The sequence below is a fragment of the Homo sapiens genome, chromosome 6 (assembly GCF_000001405.40).
Source record: "Homo sapiens chromosome 6, GRCh38.p14 Primary Assembly".
Classification (NCBI taxonomy): Eukaryota; Metazoa; Chordata; class Mammalia; order Primates; family Hominidae; genus Homo; species Homo sapiens.
This window is the reverse complement of record NC_000006.12, coordinates 39,786,775-39,809,192: the sequence shown is the minus strand read 5'-3', so window position 1 is coordinate 39,809,192 and position 22,418 is coordinate 39,786,775. Positions and strand designations below refer to the sequence as shown.

General features: G+C 45.0%; 1 protein-coding gene across 12 annotated transcripts in view; it reads right to left on the bottom strand.

Annotated features, from left to right (window-relative positions):
* Positions 1-16,817, bottom strand: part of DAAM2 (dishevelled associated activator of morphogenesis 2) — a 112,494-nt gene extending 95,677 nt beyond the window's left edge. For 4 of the 12 annotated variants that reach the window (XM_047418535.1, XM_047418538.1, XM_006715046.5 and 1 more), the window contains exon 1: positions 16,050-16,213. Coding sequence is in view for 5 of the 12 variants with exons in the window: in XM_047418531.1 (XP_047274487.1) it covers positions 14,233-14,401 (169 nt within the window). In the remaining 7 variants the exon portion in view is untranslated. Of the gene's footprint in view, positions 1-14,232; positions 14,421-14,441 lie in introns of those variants that run through there. The other 8 variants (XM_047418537.1, XM_006715043.3, NM_001201427.2 and 5 more) reach the window with 5 other exon arrangements.
* Between the last annotated feature and the right edge of the window lie 5,601 nt (positions 16,818-22,418).

Sequence of the window (22,418 nt, the reverse complement as noted above, 5' to 3'; positions counted from 1 at the left end):
TCCCTCCTGCACAGCTCCAGCAGGCAGAGCTCTGACGACACCACTCCTTGCTCTCACATCTTCAGGTGGAGAAGCACTAACGGCTTCCTGGTGCTGCTCCTTCCTGAGTGCGTCACCATCTCTCTACTCCCTCCTCTGTAAATAGCCTTCTCATTAAACTCTTATCCATCAAACCCTTTTGGGAGTGCCAACTGCTTCCTGCCTGGAGCCTGACTGACAGAGACAACAATACACATTCTTAGAGAAACCACGCTCCCATGATTTGCTCAAACAAGTCCCAATTTCATGATTTTTGTCTTTTAATTAAGGTGAATTACACGATGTATAAATAAGCAGGATGCAGAGAGGAAAGCCACCCCCAACTTTAGTCCCCAGTGCAAGCACCACGCCAACCCGATAAGGGGTTCACTGCTGCTGAACTGAGAGTTAAGGTTCACGGACTGGGTCAAGGACAAAGGCCATATAACAAGGACAAGGGCCCTCAGGGCCAACACAGTGTATGTCACTTGGATTGGGCTCAGACCAGATTTCAAGGGAAGGAAGCTATCATAAAAAGTAAGGGACATGAAAGAGCTGAATCGACTGCACTTCAATAAGACACCAGAGAAGAAGTCAGCATGGCTTCATTGTCAAGTAAAAGAAAGTGAAGCAATTCCCAGTGGTGGGTACTTTCCCACCTCAGGCTGGGGTGTTCGCAAAAGGAACAGAGCAATGGCTGTATATGAATGAAAATCAGAAGGGAAGGAGGACTTCATGGCGACAAGGCAGTGATGGTGGAGAGAGGAAAATTCTTTCACCCTGTAGCAATGAGAAGCACTTGACATTATCTGGTCCCATGTCCTTATCAAAAGGACAGCCTGTGGTCACTTTCTAGCACTTGCAAGAAATCCCAGTAGCTCTCAAGGAAGGGATGGGAGAAAGAAGGCTCCAGAATTTGCTGTGTGGGAATGAGCCACAGAGTTGCTGTTTGGTTTCTATTAGGTTGGTGCAAAAGTAATCATGGTTTTTGCCATAATTTTTGGACCAACCTATACTACTACGACCCTATTTGGCATCTCCACCAGTATATCAAAATATGATCCCAACAAATCCGCAAATTAGAAAAAAAAAAAAAAAAGGTCAAAAACAGTGATTACCATGTGCACATGAGATATAGATGTTTGGAGAAGAGCCTATTTGGAGATGTCACATCTACCTGAAATTTTCCAGATGGACCTACAGCCAATAGGAGACAGCTTCCTGTTCACTCTTCAGCATAACTACTCACCAATGGTCAAGGGAGATGAACTAGGAGTCTGTGCCTAGTTTTTAAAATTAGCTTTGCTTAAACCAAAAAATATTTTAGATATCTAAAAAATATAAATAATAATAAACTAGGCCTGGTGCAGTGGCTCAAGCCTATAATCCCAGCACTTTGGGAGGCCGAGGTGGGCGGGTCACTTGAGGTCAGAAGTTCGAGACCAGCCTGGCCAACATGGCAAAACCCCATCTCTAGCAAAAATACAAAAATCACCCAAGCATAGTTGTGCTCGCCTGTAATCCCAGCTACTCAGGAGGCTGAGGTGGGAGAATCACTTGAACCCAGGAGGCGGAGGTTGCAGTGAAAAGAGGTCACGCCATTGCACTCCTGTCTGGGTGACAGAGTGAGACTCTGTCTCAAAAATAAAATAAACATTTGTATACCCACCCTTCAGTCTAAGAAATAAAATATTACAGATATAAATGAAGCCCCTATGTGCTTCTCCCCTGGTCTGCCTTACTGCCTTTCCTAGAAGGAGCCGCTTCTCTGAATTTTATGGTTGTTCACAAACATAATTTTATGCTTTAATTATACATATAAATGTTTGTAAATAAAAGAGAGTATTGTTTTACATGATTTTAACTTACTAGCAATGGCATCCTTCTGCAACTTGCTTAATATTGTTTCCACTTCATATCGTTTCTGAGATTATATGTCACTAGTATCTGTCTTTAACAATGTCTAGCACCCTTTTTTTTTTTTTTGCTGTGTTCTATAGTATTCCACCGTAAGTATGTATGTATCAAATTATTTAACCAGTCTTCTGGTTGATAATGGATATATGGGTTGCTTTTTAGCTCTAAAAAACCATGCTGTAGTGAATATTCCTGAACATATCTTCTTTCCATATGTATTAGACTTTGTCTGGACTTACCTAGGAGTGAAATTGCTGGGTCTTACAGTAAATGCATCTTCAGTTTTACCAGATAGTGTCAAATTGCCCTTTGAAGTGTTCCTATCAGTTTAATTCCACCCTTAGTGAAGAGGAGTTATTTTTGGCTCCACATCCAGTATGATGAGCATGATTTTTTCTTTTCTTTTTTTTTTTTTTTGCCAATCTGATGAGTATAAAACAGAGTCTCCTTGTGATTTTAATTTATGTATTTCCCTGATTCCAAGTCAGGTTAAGCATCTTTTCATATGTTTATGATTCTATGGCATCATTTTAATGTTAGCATTACATTTACATGCTTTAAGACACTAAAGGATTTTTTATTTTAATTCCTCACTGGAAAACTTGCAGAGGAAAGAAGGGTTGAGGATGGAGGCAGAGGGAAGACTCCCTTTTGCATCCTGGCTATGAGACAGGGATTTTTTTTTAAATAAGCCATAATATTAGAGATAAATCACATGAAGCAGAAATTCCAGCCATTCCTGGGCAATGTGGGGAATGCACTTTTTAGACCTTGTTGTCATTGTCTAGGAGCAGCTCTGAATGATTTCATCATACCCTTCACCTTCAAGGCACATAGCTATATGGGTATAGCAGATAGGCTGGAGGAATCAAAGGAACCATTTGTCCATCTTCCTACTGCAAGAAGCACCACGTATTGACCATATCAACAGATGAAATGGCTCCTCTAATAACATACCTGGAAGGAGACTCCACAATGTCCTTCTACTCCCAAATACTCTTAAATGAGAAAGAGGCATCCTAAGATATTTTTCAAATATCTTTTACATTCTGAGCAAGACGGACTTGTTTAATTTCCATCCACTTTGAGCATCTCCCTCTTATAGCAATAATCTTCACTTCTAGATCCTTCCCCCATGACATTGCTGAGTACCTTGAGGACTCATCTATATGTCCCCTGTCTCTGGCTCAAGGATGGTGGCAAAATAGATCAACTAGTTTGGAAATGCTTGAGAGTAAGGACCACATGTTATTCAACTTCAAAATTTCAGGAGGCATTTGATTTATGTTTCTTAAGGGAAGGAAATTCTTCCACACTGAATTTTCTCTGAGCTTTAAGAACAGCGTAATGGTAGAAATAAGCCAGTCTTGTTCAGGTTATAAAAGATACCTTAAAAATACCTTAGGGGCCGGGCACGGTGGCTCACTCCTATAATCCCAGCACTTTGGGAGGCCAAGGCGGGTGGATCATGAGGTCAGGAGATGGAGACCATCCTGCCAACATGGTGAAACCCCGTCTCTACTAAAATACAAAAAATTAGCCGGGTGTGGTGGTGGGTGCCTGTAGTCCCAGCTACTCCAGAGGCTGAGGCAGGGAAATCACTTGAACCCAGGAGGCAGAGGTTGCAGTGACCCGAGATCGTGTCACTGCACTCCAGCCTGGGCAACAGAGCGAGACTCTGTCTCAAAAAAAAAAAAAAATAACCTTAGGATACTTCTTTCCCATGAAACCTTCCCTGACTTCCCCCAACTCAGAATATTTCCTCATCCATGTGTTGCAGTAACACCATGTAGTATAATACCTAGCATTCCAATGGAAAGAAAACTATGTGGCAAATAATAATAAATATTTATGGAGTACATACTATGTTCCAGGCACTGTTCTAAGTATTTTACATATATTAATTTTATCCTCATTTGGGAGTAGGTATCATTACCATCACCATTTTACAGATGAGGAAACTGAGGCTCAGTTTCCAAGACTACACTCCTAGCAAGTGGTGAAATTTGAATTTAGGTCCCACTAGTTTGACTCCCGGAATCTGCACTAGAAATCACTGTGCTATACCAAAACTTCTCCTGGAAGCACACAAGCCCTTAGATGCTTCTTGCTGTTGTTCTGGTGAAAATGCAGCTGTGGGCTTAATAAGAAATTAATTATCCTTTGCATCCTTATCTTGGAAACCCACATCAAATCCTTAGGGCCTTGGAGGAATTTGCTGATTCCTTTCTTATTAATAAAAATTCCCAGTCACAGGGGTTTGGCTCATATGCAGTCAACCTCACTTTAACAGACTGGAGCTCTGGAGGTGGGCGGGAATTTTGCTCACCAGAATTCACTCCACAACACCTGACTCAGCACACAGTGTCTCATACCAGGCAGCTTCCCAGATGTTTGTTGAGTGACCACAAGCATTAACAAATAAGACTTACACAGCACTTTGCAGTGTGCCAAGCACTTTTCATATACTTTACACCTTCCGGCTCACTTCAATCTGGTACCACCAGTATTACTGTCATTTCCATTTCACACATGACTAGAAATGCTCAGAAGCTCATCTATGGCGGTGCAGCTAATTAGAGGAAGGCTGGAATTCAAACCTAAGTCCTGACACCAAGTCCCATGATACCACATCTTTTGTTACTAATTAAGTTGATCCCTTTTATTCTTTGTCCTTTGTATGTGTATGTGCGCATGCATGCATACACACACACACACACACACACACACACACAGAACTGATCTCTCTTTCTGGACCAGTGCAATAGGCGTCAGCTCAGAAAAAAAGGAAAGAATCTAAACCAAGTTCTTGTTTATGGACTATGAATGAATGAGTGAGCTAGTGACTGAGTAAATGAATACACACAGGGATAATTGATACATACAGTCAACAAGTATCCCCTGAGCGCTAACTCTGTGTCTGCCACCAGACACTGTAAACACTGCAGTGACTTAGGCACAGTCCTAACCTTCTAGGAGTATCAAATCTGTTAACAGAAGAGTCTCAACAGCAACTGAATCTGAGAAAAGAAGCTCACCTCGTCAGAGCGCCATTTGAACAGGAAATGGTGTGGAAAGGGGAAGAAAAAAGCCAGGCTCTGCCAGACTCTTCCCATAAACAGAGGAGGCTGGGGAGGATGCCACATCAGGCCAAACTCCAGACAGACAGTGCTCTGAAAGAGTTAAAAATAACCCACACAGCCCCACTGACCAGGACAGCAATGCCCACACAGACTTCCAGAGGGTGAGCATTGTCCCAGGCTGCCCAGGACAGTCTCAGTCTGTGACTATTCCCTCCAGTGTCCCATCCAGTTAATGCCCCTTTCACTCTTGAGAGTCCTGGTTTAGAAAGTAAATTATATGGTCGCCTTTGCCTTCCAGGAAATTCATGACTCTCCAGCAGCCCCTGGGCAGGAAAACAATTTGGCTTCCCAAGGTCACTGAGTTGCTTATGTCTGTTCCTCTTTACAGGACTTCTCCTCACAGCCCCCACCCCACAGCCTGCACAGGTTCTAGGGGGACAGCACCCAAGTCTGTGTCTGTGTTTCCTTCCAGTGTTAGCACTGAGGCTAAAGCGAGTCACCATGGGATCCAATATGCATGAGCTTCAGATTCGGGCATCCCTGTTTTATATTCTGACCCTGACAGTTTCTGCTTCTAACATCTTAGGCAAGTCTCTCAAGTTTCCTCATCTGAGCCTCAGTCTCCTCATCTGTGAAAAGGGAGTGATACTCCCACTCCCCATCTCATGGGATTGCTGTGAGGATTTGGTGAAACAGTGTAAGCGAAAATGCCTGGCACACTGCCTGCTTCTTAGAGGACTACCTACCCCAGCAGACTTTCTAGAACATGTGAACTCTCAGCTAGAAAGAGCCTGGGAGCTGTGAACGTCTCAGGAATCCCTGTATATCACTGTCAAGCCTCTGCACTATTGAGTTGGAACAGCTTCTTCATCTGTCAAGAATATGCAAAACATGGCACAACTCATTTATAAAACTTTGGCCATACCTCCTAAAGCTGAACATATGCATGCTGAAGGCTCTAGCAATTCTACTCCCAGGAATATACCAAGAAAAACGCATTCATGTGTTCACCTAAAAGTGCACAAATGTTCACAGCAAGGCTACTCACAACAGCCCCAGACTTGACACCACTCAAATGCCCATCAACAGAAAAATGGAAAAAGTAAAGTATGTTGTATTCACATAATGGACTACTACGCAACAATGAGAATGAATGATCTACACAACAACAAAATGCTGAGCAAATGAAGCCAGACACAAATAAGCACCCACTGTATGATTCCATTTATATGAAGAGCAGGAAAAGGCAAAACTAATCTATGGTGCTAGAAGTCAGGATCATGGAAGGGTAGTAACCAGAGAGGGGCACGAGGGGGCTTCTTGGGCAGGGCTGGGGTGGTGGATGTTCAGTTTATGGAAATATATTGAGCTACATCCTCAAAAATTGTGTATTTTTTCTCATTTATGTTGGGCTTCAATAAAAAGTTAAGACAAAATAAAAATTTTTAATGGAAAGTATATTTCTTTCTTTGGTAGAGAGTTGAGTGGACTAGGTAGGCAGTAGACAGCAAAAGGCACTGGGATGTATTATTTAATAAATGTTTCTTGAGACCTAACTCTGTGCCAGACACTATGCAGGATGCTGGGGAAACAGCTAATGAGATGCACTCTCTGTTCTCTACTATCTTCACCACCACCACCACCATCATCATCTTCATCCTCACTAACATTTCTTAGTGCTTACTATGTGCCAGACATGATTTCAAGGACTTTCTTTTTTCTTTTTTTTTAACCAAGTAATGTATTAACTTTACCTCCAAAACAATCTGCTTTGCAGATGAGGAAACTAAGGCACAGAGAGATAAAGTAACTTGTGCAAGGTCACACAGCTAGCAAGAAGTGGAGCCAGAATCAGAATCCAGGCCATCTGAATCCAGGGCCTGTGCTCTGAAAAACAGCTTTATGCTGCCTCTAACAGTTGAGAAACCTGGTCTGTTTATCAGCTGTCAGCCTCAGCTTCCATTTAGGCAGCCACAGACATCGATAACATTACCTCTGTTCAGGGCAGCGAGGATGGTAACTTATTGACTTTGTGTCTTGGAAGGGCCGAGCAGTTCCTAACTATCTCTGGGCAGCTGCTAGTGCAATGCTTCCTGGTGGGGAACAGTCTGATTAATACACTGACAGAGATTACAAAAGAAATAGAGTGTTATAATAGCTTGATCCTTCTGCAGCCCAAAGTCCACAGAAACTCTGAATTTGTTTCAAAATAACTTCAGAGCTGCCTCTGGCACTGTGAAAATATTGACGTATCTTCCCACTGACCTGGAATCACTTTCTCCCCTCCCTGCCCTGGTCAAGGGAACTTGGAGGCAGGGGGCTTTGGTGTCTGGGAGGAAACAAGGAAGGGAGTGTTAACACTGACCCCCCGGGAATGTGGTCAGACATGAGCTGTGAGTCTGGATCCCGGAGTCTGGCGGATCAAGCATTCATCACACAGGCAAGCTTTGCTTTGGCATTCTGGATGGACAATGGGTGTACATAACCTGAAAGGCGGAATGTTCAAAGCACAGCACCAAAGACCGCCTGTGCTTGGGACAAAGGAGCAAGCAACAAACACCCATCAGGAGGAATCAGATTTGGCAGACAGCCATGCAGTCATGACATGAATAAGCACGCAGGCAGGATGGCGGCTCCCAGTGGGCCAGCAGGGTCCCTTGGGACCACCCCCTTCATACTGCAGAAGCACAGGTGAGGTAGAGAGGAATTCCCAAAAGTCAACTTGTCCAGCCCCTTGTCTCCAGGCAGGTCGGCAACAAGGCCATCTCATTATGCTTCCACCCAGATACATCCACACCCCTCAGATTAGCATGGGGTTGGGGAACAAAAGCAAATTTGCCAATAAAAGTCAAGACATTCACTCAGTCTGCCCAGTTTTGCCACAGCTCTATTTGTAGAGAAATCAGTTGAGGGTTGCCTAAAAACCACACAAAGCACAGGGGGAAAAATGTACTTTTTCATATCCTGACATAGCTACCAACAATTACCTAGAAAATAATGAACTCCTCTAAAACGATTTTATATAAAATTGCTAAAACTTGTAGCATTTTTCCAGGTACTGTGCCAGGGACTTAACATGCATCTTCCCATTTAATTGTCTCAACAACCCCATGAGGAAGGAAATGTTATTATCTCCATTTGACAGATAAGAAAACTGAAGCCCAGACAAGGTTCATAACTTGTTGGGCAAGTTATTAAATGGCAAAGTAGGTAGGGTTTCTTCTTGGGATGCAGACTCTGGGATGGAGTACAGTGGGCAGCAGGCTTGTTAGGAAGGGTTCCTCGAGTCAAGTCCTCCAGGCAGGAGGGCAGGTTGGAGGCAGCACTGGGCAGAGGGAGAAATGAAGCTCTGATGTAGCCTCAGCTAAGGCCTCCGCCAAACCCACAGGGAGCCCTGAAGCTGGCACGCCCGTTAGAATTGTCCCACATTGCGGCAGAGGGGCCAGGTAGTCACAGCTCCCCACCATCATTGGTTTCAGGGTGACCCAGGAGAGGAGCATGGACAGGAGTGCCTGACACAGCAAGTCTCTTTAGCCGGGGCTGCTCCAAAAAGGCTAACCATGTCCAGCACTCCCTGCAGCTGGGGACTCAGTCCTCAAAGGGGTCAGAGAGCACAGCCCAGTGTCCACTACACAGGGATGTGGACCCAGCCAGGCAAGTTGAGTGCAGGGCCCACATGCTTGGCCATTATACTATGCTGCCCGATTTGCTCCATCAAAACTGTTCTCCAATCTCATTGATCATCCTGCTATGTTTCCCGCATATTCAGTAATTAAGGAGCTCCAAGGAGGTAAGCCTAACTCTGATGAGCAGGAAGGGCAGTCATAGGGGCCTGATGCCTGATAGCTACCCCAGGCCCAGGAGACACAAGGAGGCCACACACACCAGGTAGTCACACCCCAGGGTGGTCAGCAGGCTGTGTACATCCGTCACGCAGCCTAAGAGCCAAAGCAAAGCTTGCCTGGGTGATGGATGATGCTTGATCTGGCAGCTCAGAGACCCAATCTAGTGATCATCCAGAAAGAAACCACACTTAATAGCTGACTGATGACAAAATGACCACCTCACCAGGAACAATGTGATCCCAAATATGTAAAGCTGTGTAAGTCTAGGCATAAAGACATCAGAAAAAATAAAAATGAGTTACATCCAGTGTAAGGATGACCTTGACATATGGTCAAGGGAAAGAAAAGTATGCTACAGAGTAACATGTACTATAAGATTCCCTTTCAGTGAAAAATACTCAGGCAAAATACCTCCATCCTGTATACACACCAGTAGGTATTTGTATGGACAAATGAAGTTACAGCAGGATATATTACTAGGCTATTAACATTAATTACCAGGGTGTAGAAGGGGGTGAATACATTTCTACTTGTCTTTATATATCTTTGCATGATATTAATTCACTTGCTTAAGCAAGAAAGAATTACCTTCATAATATGGAAAAATCAAATGAAGAATATATTTTTTAAAATGACCTGCCTAGTGTCATGTATAGTGGAGCATATAGATAAATAGTATTTCATTTCCTCTCCTCCTGCCCCTCTTAGGAGGCAGCTCCCAATCGTTCATTTGGGGAGGATCAAAAGAAATATTTAACTCAAGGTGAAGAGTTTTCTGTGCCCTCCCCTTCACCATCAGAATAGAACTTCATTTTTACATTATTCCACACACAATATATATCTGCCACCAAAATAAGTCTGCCACTAAAGTCTATAAAAATTATGCAACACATTCTGTAGTCAAACAGCAAAACTGTGCATTATTTGTTTGCTATTATTTGTGGCCATATTTCTATTACGGTGCTAACGAAAGAGCCAAATCCCAATTCTCTTGGCACATACCAAATCAACTCCCAATTATCTTGGCACATATCCATGAAAAGCCTACAGAAGACAAAACCCGACTTTTCACCACATCTGCTGACAAGAAATCAAAGAGTTGGTTTTAAGTTTCTTCCATCTTTCCCTGTCTCTGGCTACCCCCTAGAAGTGTTGTGGAGGGCAGGAGCCACCAAACAGTGGGGAGACGAGGACACAAAGTATCCACATAGTCGATAAACTGGGTAGCTCCTGCCCCTCTGGTTATGGAGACTAGCTCTTGCAAGCCCATCACACCTGGGCAAGTCCTACTCATTCCTCAAACTCAGACATGATTGCCTTGGATTAAGGGCCTAGTTGATATGGTTTGGCTTCCAGGCGTCGATTCTACAATGCAATTTGACTTTTATGAGCTGTAAACATGTAGAAAGCATGAAGGAGACTTGGTCCTTCCTCGACGGTAATGCAATGTGTTCAATGTGATGACAGAGTTGTGTGCCAGGTTCAAGGGAATAAGGAGGAAAAGGGGGTTGGAATGAGCCTTGTAGAGGGAATTTGAGAAAAAAAGGGACACCTGAGCAGGCCTTGGAGGATGAGTAGATCAGGAAGACCAGGACTGAGGCAAGGACTTTCAGGTAGAAAGAACTATGTATACAGGTGCACTGTTCTTGAGACTAGATTTGGTGCAATGAAACTTAAGTTAACCCTTGAGGACTGATGGGGATTGCTGGCCGACACAGCAATTGGTCATACAAAAGCACCTCACTCACACTTCCTGGGGCCTGATCTGTGTTGTCTTAAAAGGACACCATTTATCTCAGAAACCTCACATTAGTCTTTCTTCACACAAGCTTACTGACTGCCTATTTTTTCCTACTTCATCCCTTGATCTACCTTGTGATACTGGATTTAGATTTTGACTTTTGTCTAGTTAGTTCTCTATGTGGCTGATTGCTAGTAACTACAGCAACTACCATAGCTATAGCTAATGTTACTCTCCGCCAGGGGCTGACAACCCTCACAGTCATCCTATGAGGGAGGTATTTTATTATCATCCCCACTTTTCAGATGCGAAAACTGAGAATCAGAAAGGTGAAATAATTTGCAAGCTCTTTTAATAGGTAAGTGTTCCAGGAATCATACATAGGTTTATCTGATTCTAGAACCCATATTCTTAACAACCATGCAGTAATGACCTTCCCTAAGCTACTATACTTGCTCTGTTCATGTCTGGGATCCAGAGCAGGAGCCAGCAAACCTTTCCTGTGAAATGCTAGATGGTAAATGTTTTCAGCTTTGTAGGCCATGCAGTCTCTGTCACATCTACTCAACTCTGCCATTGCAGCACGAAAGCAGCCATAGGCAAAGCACAAATGAACAGAGATGGCTGTGTTCCAATAAAACTTTATCTATAAAACAAGATGACAAGCTGGGTTTCACTGTTGAAATTGACAACTTCTAATCTATGGTATCTTGTTCATTTGTTCATCTACCCAATGTTTATTGAGCACTTACCTTGTAGCTGGCACTCTCCTAGGCTCCAGGGATACAGGGAGAACCATACGAAGTCTGCACCCTCATAGGGCTTAAATCCTAGCAAAGTCTTGGCTGTTTCTTTTTCCCATGCCTGGTATCCTGGGTCCTAACTTTGGTGCTTTTCACTCCTCTTAGACCAGTGATTCTCAGCTTAGACTTCAGATCACCTGGGAAGCTTACAGAACTGTGGACGCCTAGGTTCCATTCCCAAGGAGTCTAATTAAATTGATCTGGGGTGGGCCCAAGCATTGATACTTTTACAAGCTCCCCCAAGTGGTTCTAATGTGCAGCCAGGGTTGAGACCCACTGCTTGGGGAACAGTTTGTTTTCTGTTTATTCCACTTACTTAAGGTGTGAAATATGGTAAGTTTTTTAAGTCCTCAGAATTTGGGCTGTGAAATGTGGTTAATATCAATCTCATATGATTGTCAACGATGTTTAAATGAGACAATGTACCTTTCAAATGATACAATGTTATATAAATTTAAAATACTGCTGTCATTGTGACATCATTATTAGATTTTAATGTTAGGTACTGCCTCAATGATTTCTGTCCTCAGTTTGACCTTGATTCTCAGGACAGTATTTGAGCTTTTTAAACAAGCTCTATGGAGAGCTCACTAAATAGCCCAAATTCATGGGTGAGTGAGCTAGTGGCCTTTCCTTTATTCCAATAGAGGGTCACATGGGGCTGCCATTTGCTTGGCATGGGGAGCACTGTTCTGTGCCCCACTTTTGTATAAAGGGTCTCCATCTCCAGGCTGAGATATCTGACCTCCAAGCACAGTTGTTAATCCTTGAATAAGTGGCTTATTTACTTTGACCTGTGGACAAATGTCTAAACCCATGTATTTTCACGGACTTAGAACTGGAGAGGGGAATGGCATTAACATTTTACTGAGCAGTTTGCTAGCTTCTTCCCTTATATCATTCCATTTCATTTTCAGAACAACCCTGGGGAATGAGAATAGTTATTGTTCTCATTTAACAGATAAAGAAGACTCAGAGAGGTTAGCAAGCTTGTGACCTGGTGGTGCCAGAACTCAAATCTCTGTCTGCTTGATTCTAAAGCTCTTCCTTGGAACCATAGGATGTACCACAAATAATTCAGCTCCTCTTTGGCCAGGATTGAAAGAGACATCAAACTGCCTAAAGTTCATTTTTTTTTTACAGGTTTTTTTTTTTTTTTTTTTTTTGGAGGGGGACCCCAGAAAGAAACCCATAACACCTATTAATAACCATAGTCTGATAAGTCTTGGCCAGTGCTAGCATAACGCTGCACAGGTTCCAAGAACAGGCACTTACTTCCTCCCCCCACAGCATCTTGACTGTGCAGTTTTAGAACCTCATAATGAAACAAAAAACAAACCAAAAAATGTGGAGAGAGTTGGAGAAATAGATGCTGCCAAGAGTGAGGAATTCACTGACCCCCGCTCTGGGCCATCTCAAGAGAAGTTGACCACTGGTTGAGCCTCTTAAAAGCTTAAAAGTCATCCCAGGCCATGGTTAAAGAGAGAGCTTGAACAAAACAAAAACAAATGTGATCTTCAAAATCTTAAATGTCAACTTGAAGGATAACTTACAAGCTTTGAGATGGGCCAAGAGGACCTGCAGCTGCTCTCTAACATCAGATGTTCCTTTGTTCCTTTGGAGTAGTCACTCCCTTGGATAATGTATCAATCAGGGTTCAGGGGGCAGCCTCCCACCCCATACCCACTGGAGATGTTTGCAATGACTAAAGCTTTCATTCTTTACAACCCATCAGATTCCCCCATTACTCTGACCTGAGCACCCTTGACAAGGAGTGGCTGCCTACCCGCTCTCTGACTCAGGCTTGTCCTTCAAGATCCAATTGGTCCTTGACCCTCCTGCCCTACCCCCACCTCCCTACCTTTCCCCTCCCCACCATACTTATACAACCTGCTCTTCTGTCCTTCTCCCTCCCTAAAGAGCACAAACACAAGAGTGATTTCTAGGCCAGACATCCAGGATCCCTGGTTTCTTCTCCCACACTTCAGGATAATGGACCAGGGATGCTCATGGAATATCTTCATTGGTCACCTTTTCTAGAGGAAGGAAGTAAGGATGATCAGAGCCCTAGAAACTCCACCCACTAGCCTTCAATCATGGAAAATATGTAGCTAGATTTGGGGAGAGGTTCTTTCCAAGCAATACTGGCTTGTGATGGCTGAAAAACTGAAAAATAAAAATACAGCACTCCCTTTATGAAGGGTCTTATAACATTCTGAGCTCTGTTCTTAGTTCTTGTGCATAAATGTTTTCATAATGACCTGGGGAGGGAAATACTATCCTTATTTTACAGATGAGGAAGCTGAAGCTCAGAAGGAATAAGTCATGTAGCCCAGGTTACTAATTCGTATTTAGGTCACAGTTCTCTCTCTCCAGGCAGCTGATCAGAAATCTGCACTCTTTCCATTGTTGTCGGGCTGCCTCTGAAGTCTAGGGCTGAATGACACAGGATCCTTGACAGAGTCTCTGGCTGTTGAGATCTAGAGGGTCATCCGCTATCAAAGCCAAGGATATCCTTCAACTTGTTCTTTCTGCCAGCTGTGTTTGCCCTCTGGACCTTCAAGGATGTCTTGGAATGCATCCCATCTACTTAATCTAATCTCAAAGATGACCAAAGAGCTGGCCAGAAGATTGAACTGATAGAATGAGCCATGAGAAGGCTTCAATGTCAGCCTAGGCATCCATGGCCTGGGAATTCATCCCGGCCATAGTGAAATGTCTCCTAGTACAAGCCCAGAAGCATCAGGACTCCACTGATCCCACATGCAGCACTCCCAGAAACCCCACATGTAGAAAGAGTTGAAAACCCAGTTCTTGCCCCTCACCTGTCCCTGAGGAGTTGTATGCTGGGATAAGAGTATTTCTGGGAATCCTGTTCCGAGGGGTCCCTTCTGTCCCTGGGTAGTCTTCTATGTTTAAATAATGGAAATGAATGAGAACATTTAAACTTGTTACTTCCATTGGCTCTAGTAAAATCAAATAAGAAAGCCTCATCTTTCATTATCTCTATGCTTTCTCTACTGCCTGTACTTACCCTTTATCTTCATTCTTTACACCTGGATCCAAGGCTCTTTAGTAATGGGGAGTTTAATCTGTTTTGCATCAAAAACTTTGGAGACAGTCGGGAAAGAAGACTGGGGAGAGAACATGTTCTCACAGCAAGCAGTAGTATTTCAACTTCCTCCACGCTCACCAAAAACAAAATCATTTACAGGCCTTCCTATTGGTCTTGCCTGCACAGCCTCCGCCTTCTTGAGCCCCTGACTCTCTAAGTTCTAATGCCCAGGAGAATGTTCTCTCCTCTTTTTGTCCTGATGGGGGCACGAGTATTCCCTCAGCATCCGAGGCGCTGGAGGAAAAGCTCTGAAAACTCAGCTGGGAGTTAGGAGCCAGAGTTTGCAACTACCAGGGAGCAAGACAATAATAGCACAGTTGTTTGCATAAAGGAAGAAATGGGGGTTAGATGGAGTTCCCAGCACAGATGAAGAAATAGACCATTTATCCTCCCATGTCTAAGGCCATGGCCATCACCACACAGTCATGTATGTGTAAAAACACATAGGCATGTGCATCTCATGGGGACCAGTCACTCCTGTTTACATGCACCCTTGTTTACATTGCCTATGGGATGATTTCCTCCTCCTTCATTACACTTCAGTTGACAACGTACTCCTGAAGTTAAATGAGTCTGTTTCTGACATTGCTGCCTGCTCCATCTTTTATGGAGCTTCCCTGGGGTTCAATTTATATAATTTCTAAAATCCTTCCTGAATCTTAACTTCCTGTGGGTCTGTTTTTACATCCAGATTTCCTCCCTGTCCCTTCATTTTCTCATTTTTCTAGGACAGAGGGAGAGTCCAGTAATCTTCCTCCCACCCAGACATTGTAGGTTGGCTCTACTGCAAAATACAAAACCAGAGACCTGGCTAGCTCAAAGCTGAAAATTCAGTCTGTCTGTGGTCACTCGTTTGTGGAACCCAGCTATTGACAGGCAGTGCCTGGCACTGTGCTACTCAGGGATGATGGATCGATACAGCCTCACTGCTGCTTTTTTCCCCTACTCTCCGTGGAGCACACTTTCCGCCCTAGGCCCTAGGGAAAATCCATCCCCCGCTTCAGCTGGCTTTGCAAAGAAACTCAGGAAACTAACACCAAACTCAGAAGGGGGAAAACACAAGACTTTGAACTTTTTAAAGATGGGAAGCTGCTTTCATTCCCACGTGGGCATCAAGGGAAAACCTATGGGGACTCTTTTCCGGAGAGGTGTGATTTTCCTCTAACCCTCCGAGAAACGTTCCAAATCCACTCCAAAACTGTGGAGAAGTGGCCGAGGCAGAGAGAGAAGAGTTAAATCAAGCCCAGATCTCAGCAATCTGTGTTCAATTTTGATAAAAATCTCCCTCTCCCCCACCGCCCCCCTTCCTCCACCCCACAGCTCAGACACGTCTCTTTATGTTAGGAGCTTGCATCTTGTTTGGGGCACCACACGCGGCACTCCTGGAGAACCTGGCACGTACCTCACCGTGGCCATGTGGCAGAACCAACCATCCCACTCCCAAGCTACGGCTGGACACAGGGCCACAGCGTCCTGGCCATCACCACCACCTCCCCCTCTTCCTTCTCATCCTCTTCACAAAATTACCTGCCGCCAGACCAAGTCCCTCATTCCCCGGTTAAGTCAGAGTCCCGACGCCTGGTAAAGTCAGGGCATGAGGTTGGTTTGCGACCGCAGGTGCTGAGAGCCCCAGAGTCCGGGGACCCCTTTCCTGAGATGCTCCTTCCCCCGCCCAGGGTCCCACTGCCACTGAGAACAAGAACCTTACGGCTGCCCTGCCCACTGGCCAGAGGCCAGGCCTGCAAGTGGGAGCTGGGGGCTTGTGAAGACTTCAGCCCAGCCAAGTGAAGGTTCAAGCCGAACCCGGAAAAGCCACCACCAAAAAGTTGTCAGTTTTGCGGGGTATCTTCTGTGTTTGTCCACTTGTGACAACCAGGGGTCAGGTTTCAAAGCCGCAAAAAACATTTTTAAAAAGTTTTCCAAAGACATTTCCTATGTCCAGATGTGCCAGTACAGACACACGCAATCACACTCATACACACACACAACTCACACACACACAGGCCCTGGGAGCCCACTCCGGGGTCGGCGGCTCCTGCAAACACTTTGGAGAAACAAAACCGCCAGCCTGCGGAGCTGCTGCCTCCCCAAGCCCCGCGGGGCATGCTAAAGAAAGCAGAGGGAGAGAAGTGTGGGAGCCCAGCGGAGAGGGCTCCCCGCGGCCCGGGCCCCAAGACGGGGAGCGCCAGGGCCGGCCGCACTTACTCCGAGGACCCCAGGGCGCCCGCGCTCCCGCAGCCCGAGGTACGGCGCCGCCGCCCGCGCTCCGCTCGCTGCTGCGTGCTCCGCGCTATCCCCGGGAAGCCGCGGCTGCCGCCCCTCCAGGCCCGGCCTCGCGCCCGTCCGCCCGCCCCGCTCTGACGTCAGGCGTCTTGGAGCGGGATATTTATGGCAAGGTTACTCTGAATTTTCCCTAGGTAGACTTCTGATTGCAGTTTCTTGGGATTTGTAATTTTCACACTTTCAGACCGAACGCAGGCGGGGGGAGAGCGCCACCGGCAGGGCGAGGCGTACAATGAGGGTAGCTGTTCCCCACTTTGGCAGGGAGCGTTCTCAGGGCCCCTTCTGTTTTGGAAACATGGAAGGGTCAAAGAGGCAAAAGTGGCCACCTGGGCAGCGGGTTTCTCCCCGGCTCCTCCTCTGGGCTACGGGCAAATGGCCTGGTCTGAGGCCGGCTCGGAGGTGAAGGTCCCGGTGCCAAGGAATCCCCTGTCCCTCCCCAAAGTGTCCCTGCACTGGACAGTGTGTCCCAAGGGGTGCTGGGCAAGACAGGAGCGAAATCAGGCACAACAGAACAGCTAATTAGGAGTCCTGGTCCACGCCCTAACAACTTTTCCATTTCTTTTTTGGGAGTGTATATATATTTTTTTAAGTTTATTTTTATTAAATTATGTTCCACACTCCCTGCCTCTGTATAGCTTTTCCAATTCAGTGCCAGTCAATTCATCTTACTTCATTGCTTGTATGCATAGTTTGAGCAGTTTACAATAGCTCTTATTCATACTTTTAAAATTTCCTTTTAGTTTTTTTTTTTCTTTTTTTTTTAAATGTGATTGTGGTCTGTCTCCTTGACTGAACTAGAGATTGCTTTGGTCAAGAGCAATTGTCCTCTCTGGGATTGGCAACACCCTCACGGGGAGTATTTGATCTTCTCTGTTTCCTATTTTCCCCAGCTCCCTCTGCAAGCAAATGGTGCCCCCACTGGGTGATGACCTGTATACAGTTTTCTGGGTGTTCAGTGGTTGTTCTGTGTTAGTGGTTGTCTGTTTCTCCACCTCACCAAAGGGGCTTAGGGAAATGGCTTGGTTTAAGGGCCACCCTTCCAGAGAAAAAAAGAGAATGTAATGCATGATCTTCCAGAGGAAAAAAAAAAAAAAAAGAGAATGTAATGTGTTATCCTTCATGGTTCCCAAGGATTGGAGAATGAAATGAACTTAAAATGATACACGTGAGATGCAAAATACTTATATGGTTAGACAACATAAGTGTTTAGGTATTCATCTCACCATGAATGGGAGGGGGCACGGATAATTGCAAATCATCATTAAAACACAACTATAGTGAACTTTCCATTAGCCCAAACTGGTAGAGGCGGGGTTGTGTTTTAACCACAGTTACAGTGCAGCAGGGACTCAAGGACTTGGAATGTGTTTACCTCTTTGGCAGCAGCTGGTTAGAGCTGATTGCCAGAAGGAGCTGTCTTAGGGCTGGGCCTCTCGGTAGAGGCCACGCTGTTTTGACCCAAGCCACCGAGGGCCCTGCAGCAGGGAGCTGCTGTTTGGTCACTGTGGGATTGCTCTCCCTGGCATAATACCCCACTTTTACCTCCTTCCATTCCCTCTCTCATATCAAGGCTCCACTGGCAAGGTGAGCTCTGTTCTTCAGCAGACCCTGCAAATAGGTTTCCAGAAGCCATTGACAAACCCATTCTCCCTTGCCTTTCTCAACTAAAGAAGTTAGAAATCTACAATATTCACCATCCCAGACTCCCTGGTAGCTCACAATTGCTATGAGACCAAGTTCTGACCAGTGAGATTGTAATACAGAAGACAGAGGATGCCTTCCACAAACTCTCTTTAAGAGAAGATCAGATTTGGCCAGGCGCGGTGGCTCACGCCTGTATTCCCAGCACTTTGGGAGACCGAGGCGGGCGGACCACGAGGTCAGGAGATCGAGACCATCCTGGCTAACACGGTTAAACCCCGTCTCCACTAAAAAATACAAAAAATTAGCCAGGCGTGGTGGTGGGCGCCTGTAGTCCCAGCTACTTCGGAGGCTGAGGCAGGAGAATGGCGTGAACCTAGGAGGCGGAGCTTGCAGTGAGCCGAGATTGCGCCACTGCACTCCAGCCTGGGCGACAGAGCGAGACTCCGTCTCAAAAAAATAAATAAATAAATAAATAAATAAATAAATAAATAAATAAATAAAAACACAAAAAAAGATAGGGCCAGAGACTCAGAGGTGGCAGGTTGGGGACATCATGAGGACAGAAACAGGGGAAGTGAGGCTGAGGAGCAAGCATTCTAGGTCTGGGAGAGGGGAGTCTCTCCATCCTTGCCCAAGTGTTTTGGAGGCAGGGTCTCTCTCTGTCACCTAGGCTGGAGTGCAGTGGCACGATGATAGCTCACTACAGCTTCGAACTCCTGGGCTCAAGGGATTTTCCCACCTCAGCCTTCCCAGTAGCTGGGACTACAGGTGCATGCCACTAGGCCCTGCTAACCTTTTTTTTTTTTTTTTTTTTTTTTTTTTTTGTAGCGATGTGGTCTTGCTATGTTTCCCAAGCTAATCTCAAATTCCTGGTCTCAAGCAATTCTCTCAACTCGAGAGGCCGAAGCGCTGGGATTACAGGTGTGAGCCATTGCGCCTGGCCCCCAAGCATTCTTAATTGGGTTCTATTGGGATGAGGAGCAAGTGAAATTCATAAAATACGTGGCTGTCAGTGCTGAGGAGCTGTTTTTGAGGTTGGCAAGCCCTGAAGAGTCCATGAAGTAGTAGGGCCCACTCGAAGATCATCTGATTCACTCCCTACCCCCAGCCCTATCACTCACAGGGTCCTAATGTGGGAGTCTCTCCTATTCTCAAGATTCCCAAGAAAGGGGTTTCATCCTTCTTCACCTGCATATTCTAGGAATGTTCCCGGAACATACAGTGAGGCCCTCTGTAGCACACTACTCATCTGGAAAATTGTACCTGCTTGATGAAAGATTCTCAAATAGCACATTATGGTTGACCTGGCTTCCAAAGCTCACTATATACTTCCAAGGCCCAGCCTATCATGATAAGAAGCAGGCTTCACAAAAGTCACTTGCTCACTCTCCAGGGGTAGAGATCCTAGTCTAGTACAGCATGGACCACAATAGCACTCCATAAAGACTTTCTGAAGAATAAATGAAGGCCCCATGAATATGTCATCTAATCAATATGTGACTCTCCGCAAATAACATATACCTTTCTCTGATTTACTATTGTGGACTATAGCAAGTGTTTGAACCAAAGACCTTGGTTAAATCCCAGCCCTGCCTCTCACTGCTGTGTGACCTCAGCATGGCAGGAAACTTTCTCAAGCATAGTTTTTGTGATGGTTAACTTCATGTGTCAACTTGGCTGTGCCACAGTGCCCAGATAGTTGATCAAGCATTATTCTGGATACTTCTGTGAAGGTGGTTTTGGATGAGATTAATATTTAAATTGGTGGACTTTGAGTAAAGCTGAGTACCCTCCATAATGTAGGTAGGCCTCATGCAATCAACTGAAATTCTTAATAGAACAAAGACTGACCCCCACCCCGCAAGAGGGAACTGTGCCAGCAGACTGCCTCAGGACTCCAACTGCAATGCTTCCCTGGGTCTCCAGCCTGCTGGCCTACCCCTGCTGGTCTACCCTCCAGATTTTAGACTACCAGGCCTCCATAATTACATAAGCCAATTCTTTAAAATCAGTCTCTCTCTCTCTCAATATTCATATACTACATCCTGTTGGTTGTTTCTCTGAATCTCCTATTAGTAGGAGAATCCTAAAAAATACAGTGTTCTTCAACAACAACATGGGATGAAAATTATTCCACCCTAAAGTATTGTTGTAAAGTTCAAATGAAGCAAAATAAATTGAAAGCCTCTACCTCAATAAGTTCTTCTGAAACTTGGAAGGAAAAGGATGCCTCAAAATTTCAAAGTCTTTTTCATCCTACCACTTATGTGGTCAGTATCAATCTGCTGGCTCTTAGACTCTGTTCAGGGAGGTGTCAAACTTTGTTATCAGGTGTGCTGTTAATGCCTAGAAGGCAGAAGCAACTTGTCTTGAACTGGACCCCATCCAGCACAGACACATCACACTTCAGGTATTTTGATCATGAGCCTGATCCTGGGGCCTATCCTGCTTCTGTCACTTCTAGTAAGGGATACAACCTCCACTGTTCAGGACAAGACTCCTGGACTTCTATTATCTCACGGTAACTTCCAAGGATACAGCTAAAGAGAGAAAAAGCCCATGGCTACCACAATTTCTTCCTGAAAGTACATACTTATCAATAGAACATGAACTGCATGTCCCAACAACTTGAAGATATTTTAGGTCCTCATTGTCATGTGGTAGAAATGACCCCAGAATATGGCATGAGAAAAACCTGGTTTCTAATTCCAGCTCTGACTCTTGTAAGTAAGAGCATCATTTCACTTCTCTGCAAAATTCAGACTAATAGAAGGACCAATCCCATGGTGCGAGAGTAAGGATTAAATTGCAGAATATTTGTACCTTACAGATGACCACTGTTCTTATATGCCTTTTCTTCTCTTTGCCCTCTTTCCTACCTCTATACCCACTCCCTCCACCCAACACACACAGCTCCTCTGTTAGTTAATTTTAAGAATGTACTCAACGTTAACGTACAGGTTTCTGGAGTCCAGCTTTCTGCAAACCTCTTTCTTGGAGTTAAGAAATCTCCCCTGGCTCAAGCATAACCACAGCAAATAGGCAGCAATCAGAAAATTGCCCCCATAAAGGCCATCTCCTCCTGAGGAGCAGGACTGCATTTTTGAGAAGCCTTCTCAGGTTGTTTGCAGCAGCTTTGAGGGTCGGCTCTGCTGCCTTGCCTACGTCAAAACCCCAAGTGTTTAACCACAAGACACACAATTCCAGGACATAGTGGCGGCGGCCCTCCACCCCCGCAGAGAGACAGGCCACGCGTATGTCTAATCTGGCATGTGGCCTCCCTCAAAGGCCAGCAAGGCAACTGTGGCCCACTGCACCACACCTGGCCAAATTGAGAGGGACTATCGCACAGTGAGTAGAGTGCCAAAATGGGTGGGAAATGGAGTGGAATTCTTTTCTGACCATCCTCCTGCCAATCTGTGATCAGAGCCCAAGGTCCCCAGTCTGCAAAGGCCATTCCTGCTAGTAGCCACCACCACTTTTGTTATTTCTGGAGCCAGGGTACTTGCACTGTCATGATCACATACAAAACTTCCATTATACCCCATTTTCAGTAGCTCAAAATCCTTTGAAAAATAATGCTCAGGGCCAAGTATTCCAGTTAGCTTCAGGGTAAAATTATATTTTGGAATATTTAAAAGAAATAAGTTTCCCCAGGTGATCTATATTGGGGGTGATGATGGGTCTCACACACACACACATACACACACACACACAGACACACACAGACACACACATACACATTTTTCTCCATTGAAAAATAGTTTGAAACTGCTTACAATGTTCAGGATGTGTGACTTTGGACTGGCATATGGATGTGTGTGCAACTGAGCAAAGACTCAGGGACATCAGGAGAAGCATGACACATTTCATCATTCAGTGGTTTTGTCTTTTAAAGGAAAATAGCTTAAAAATGGTAAAGTGATAATGTTAAGAATCTGTTCTTAATTACCACTCAGTAACTTGGCA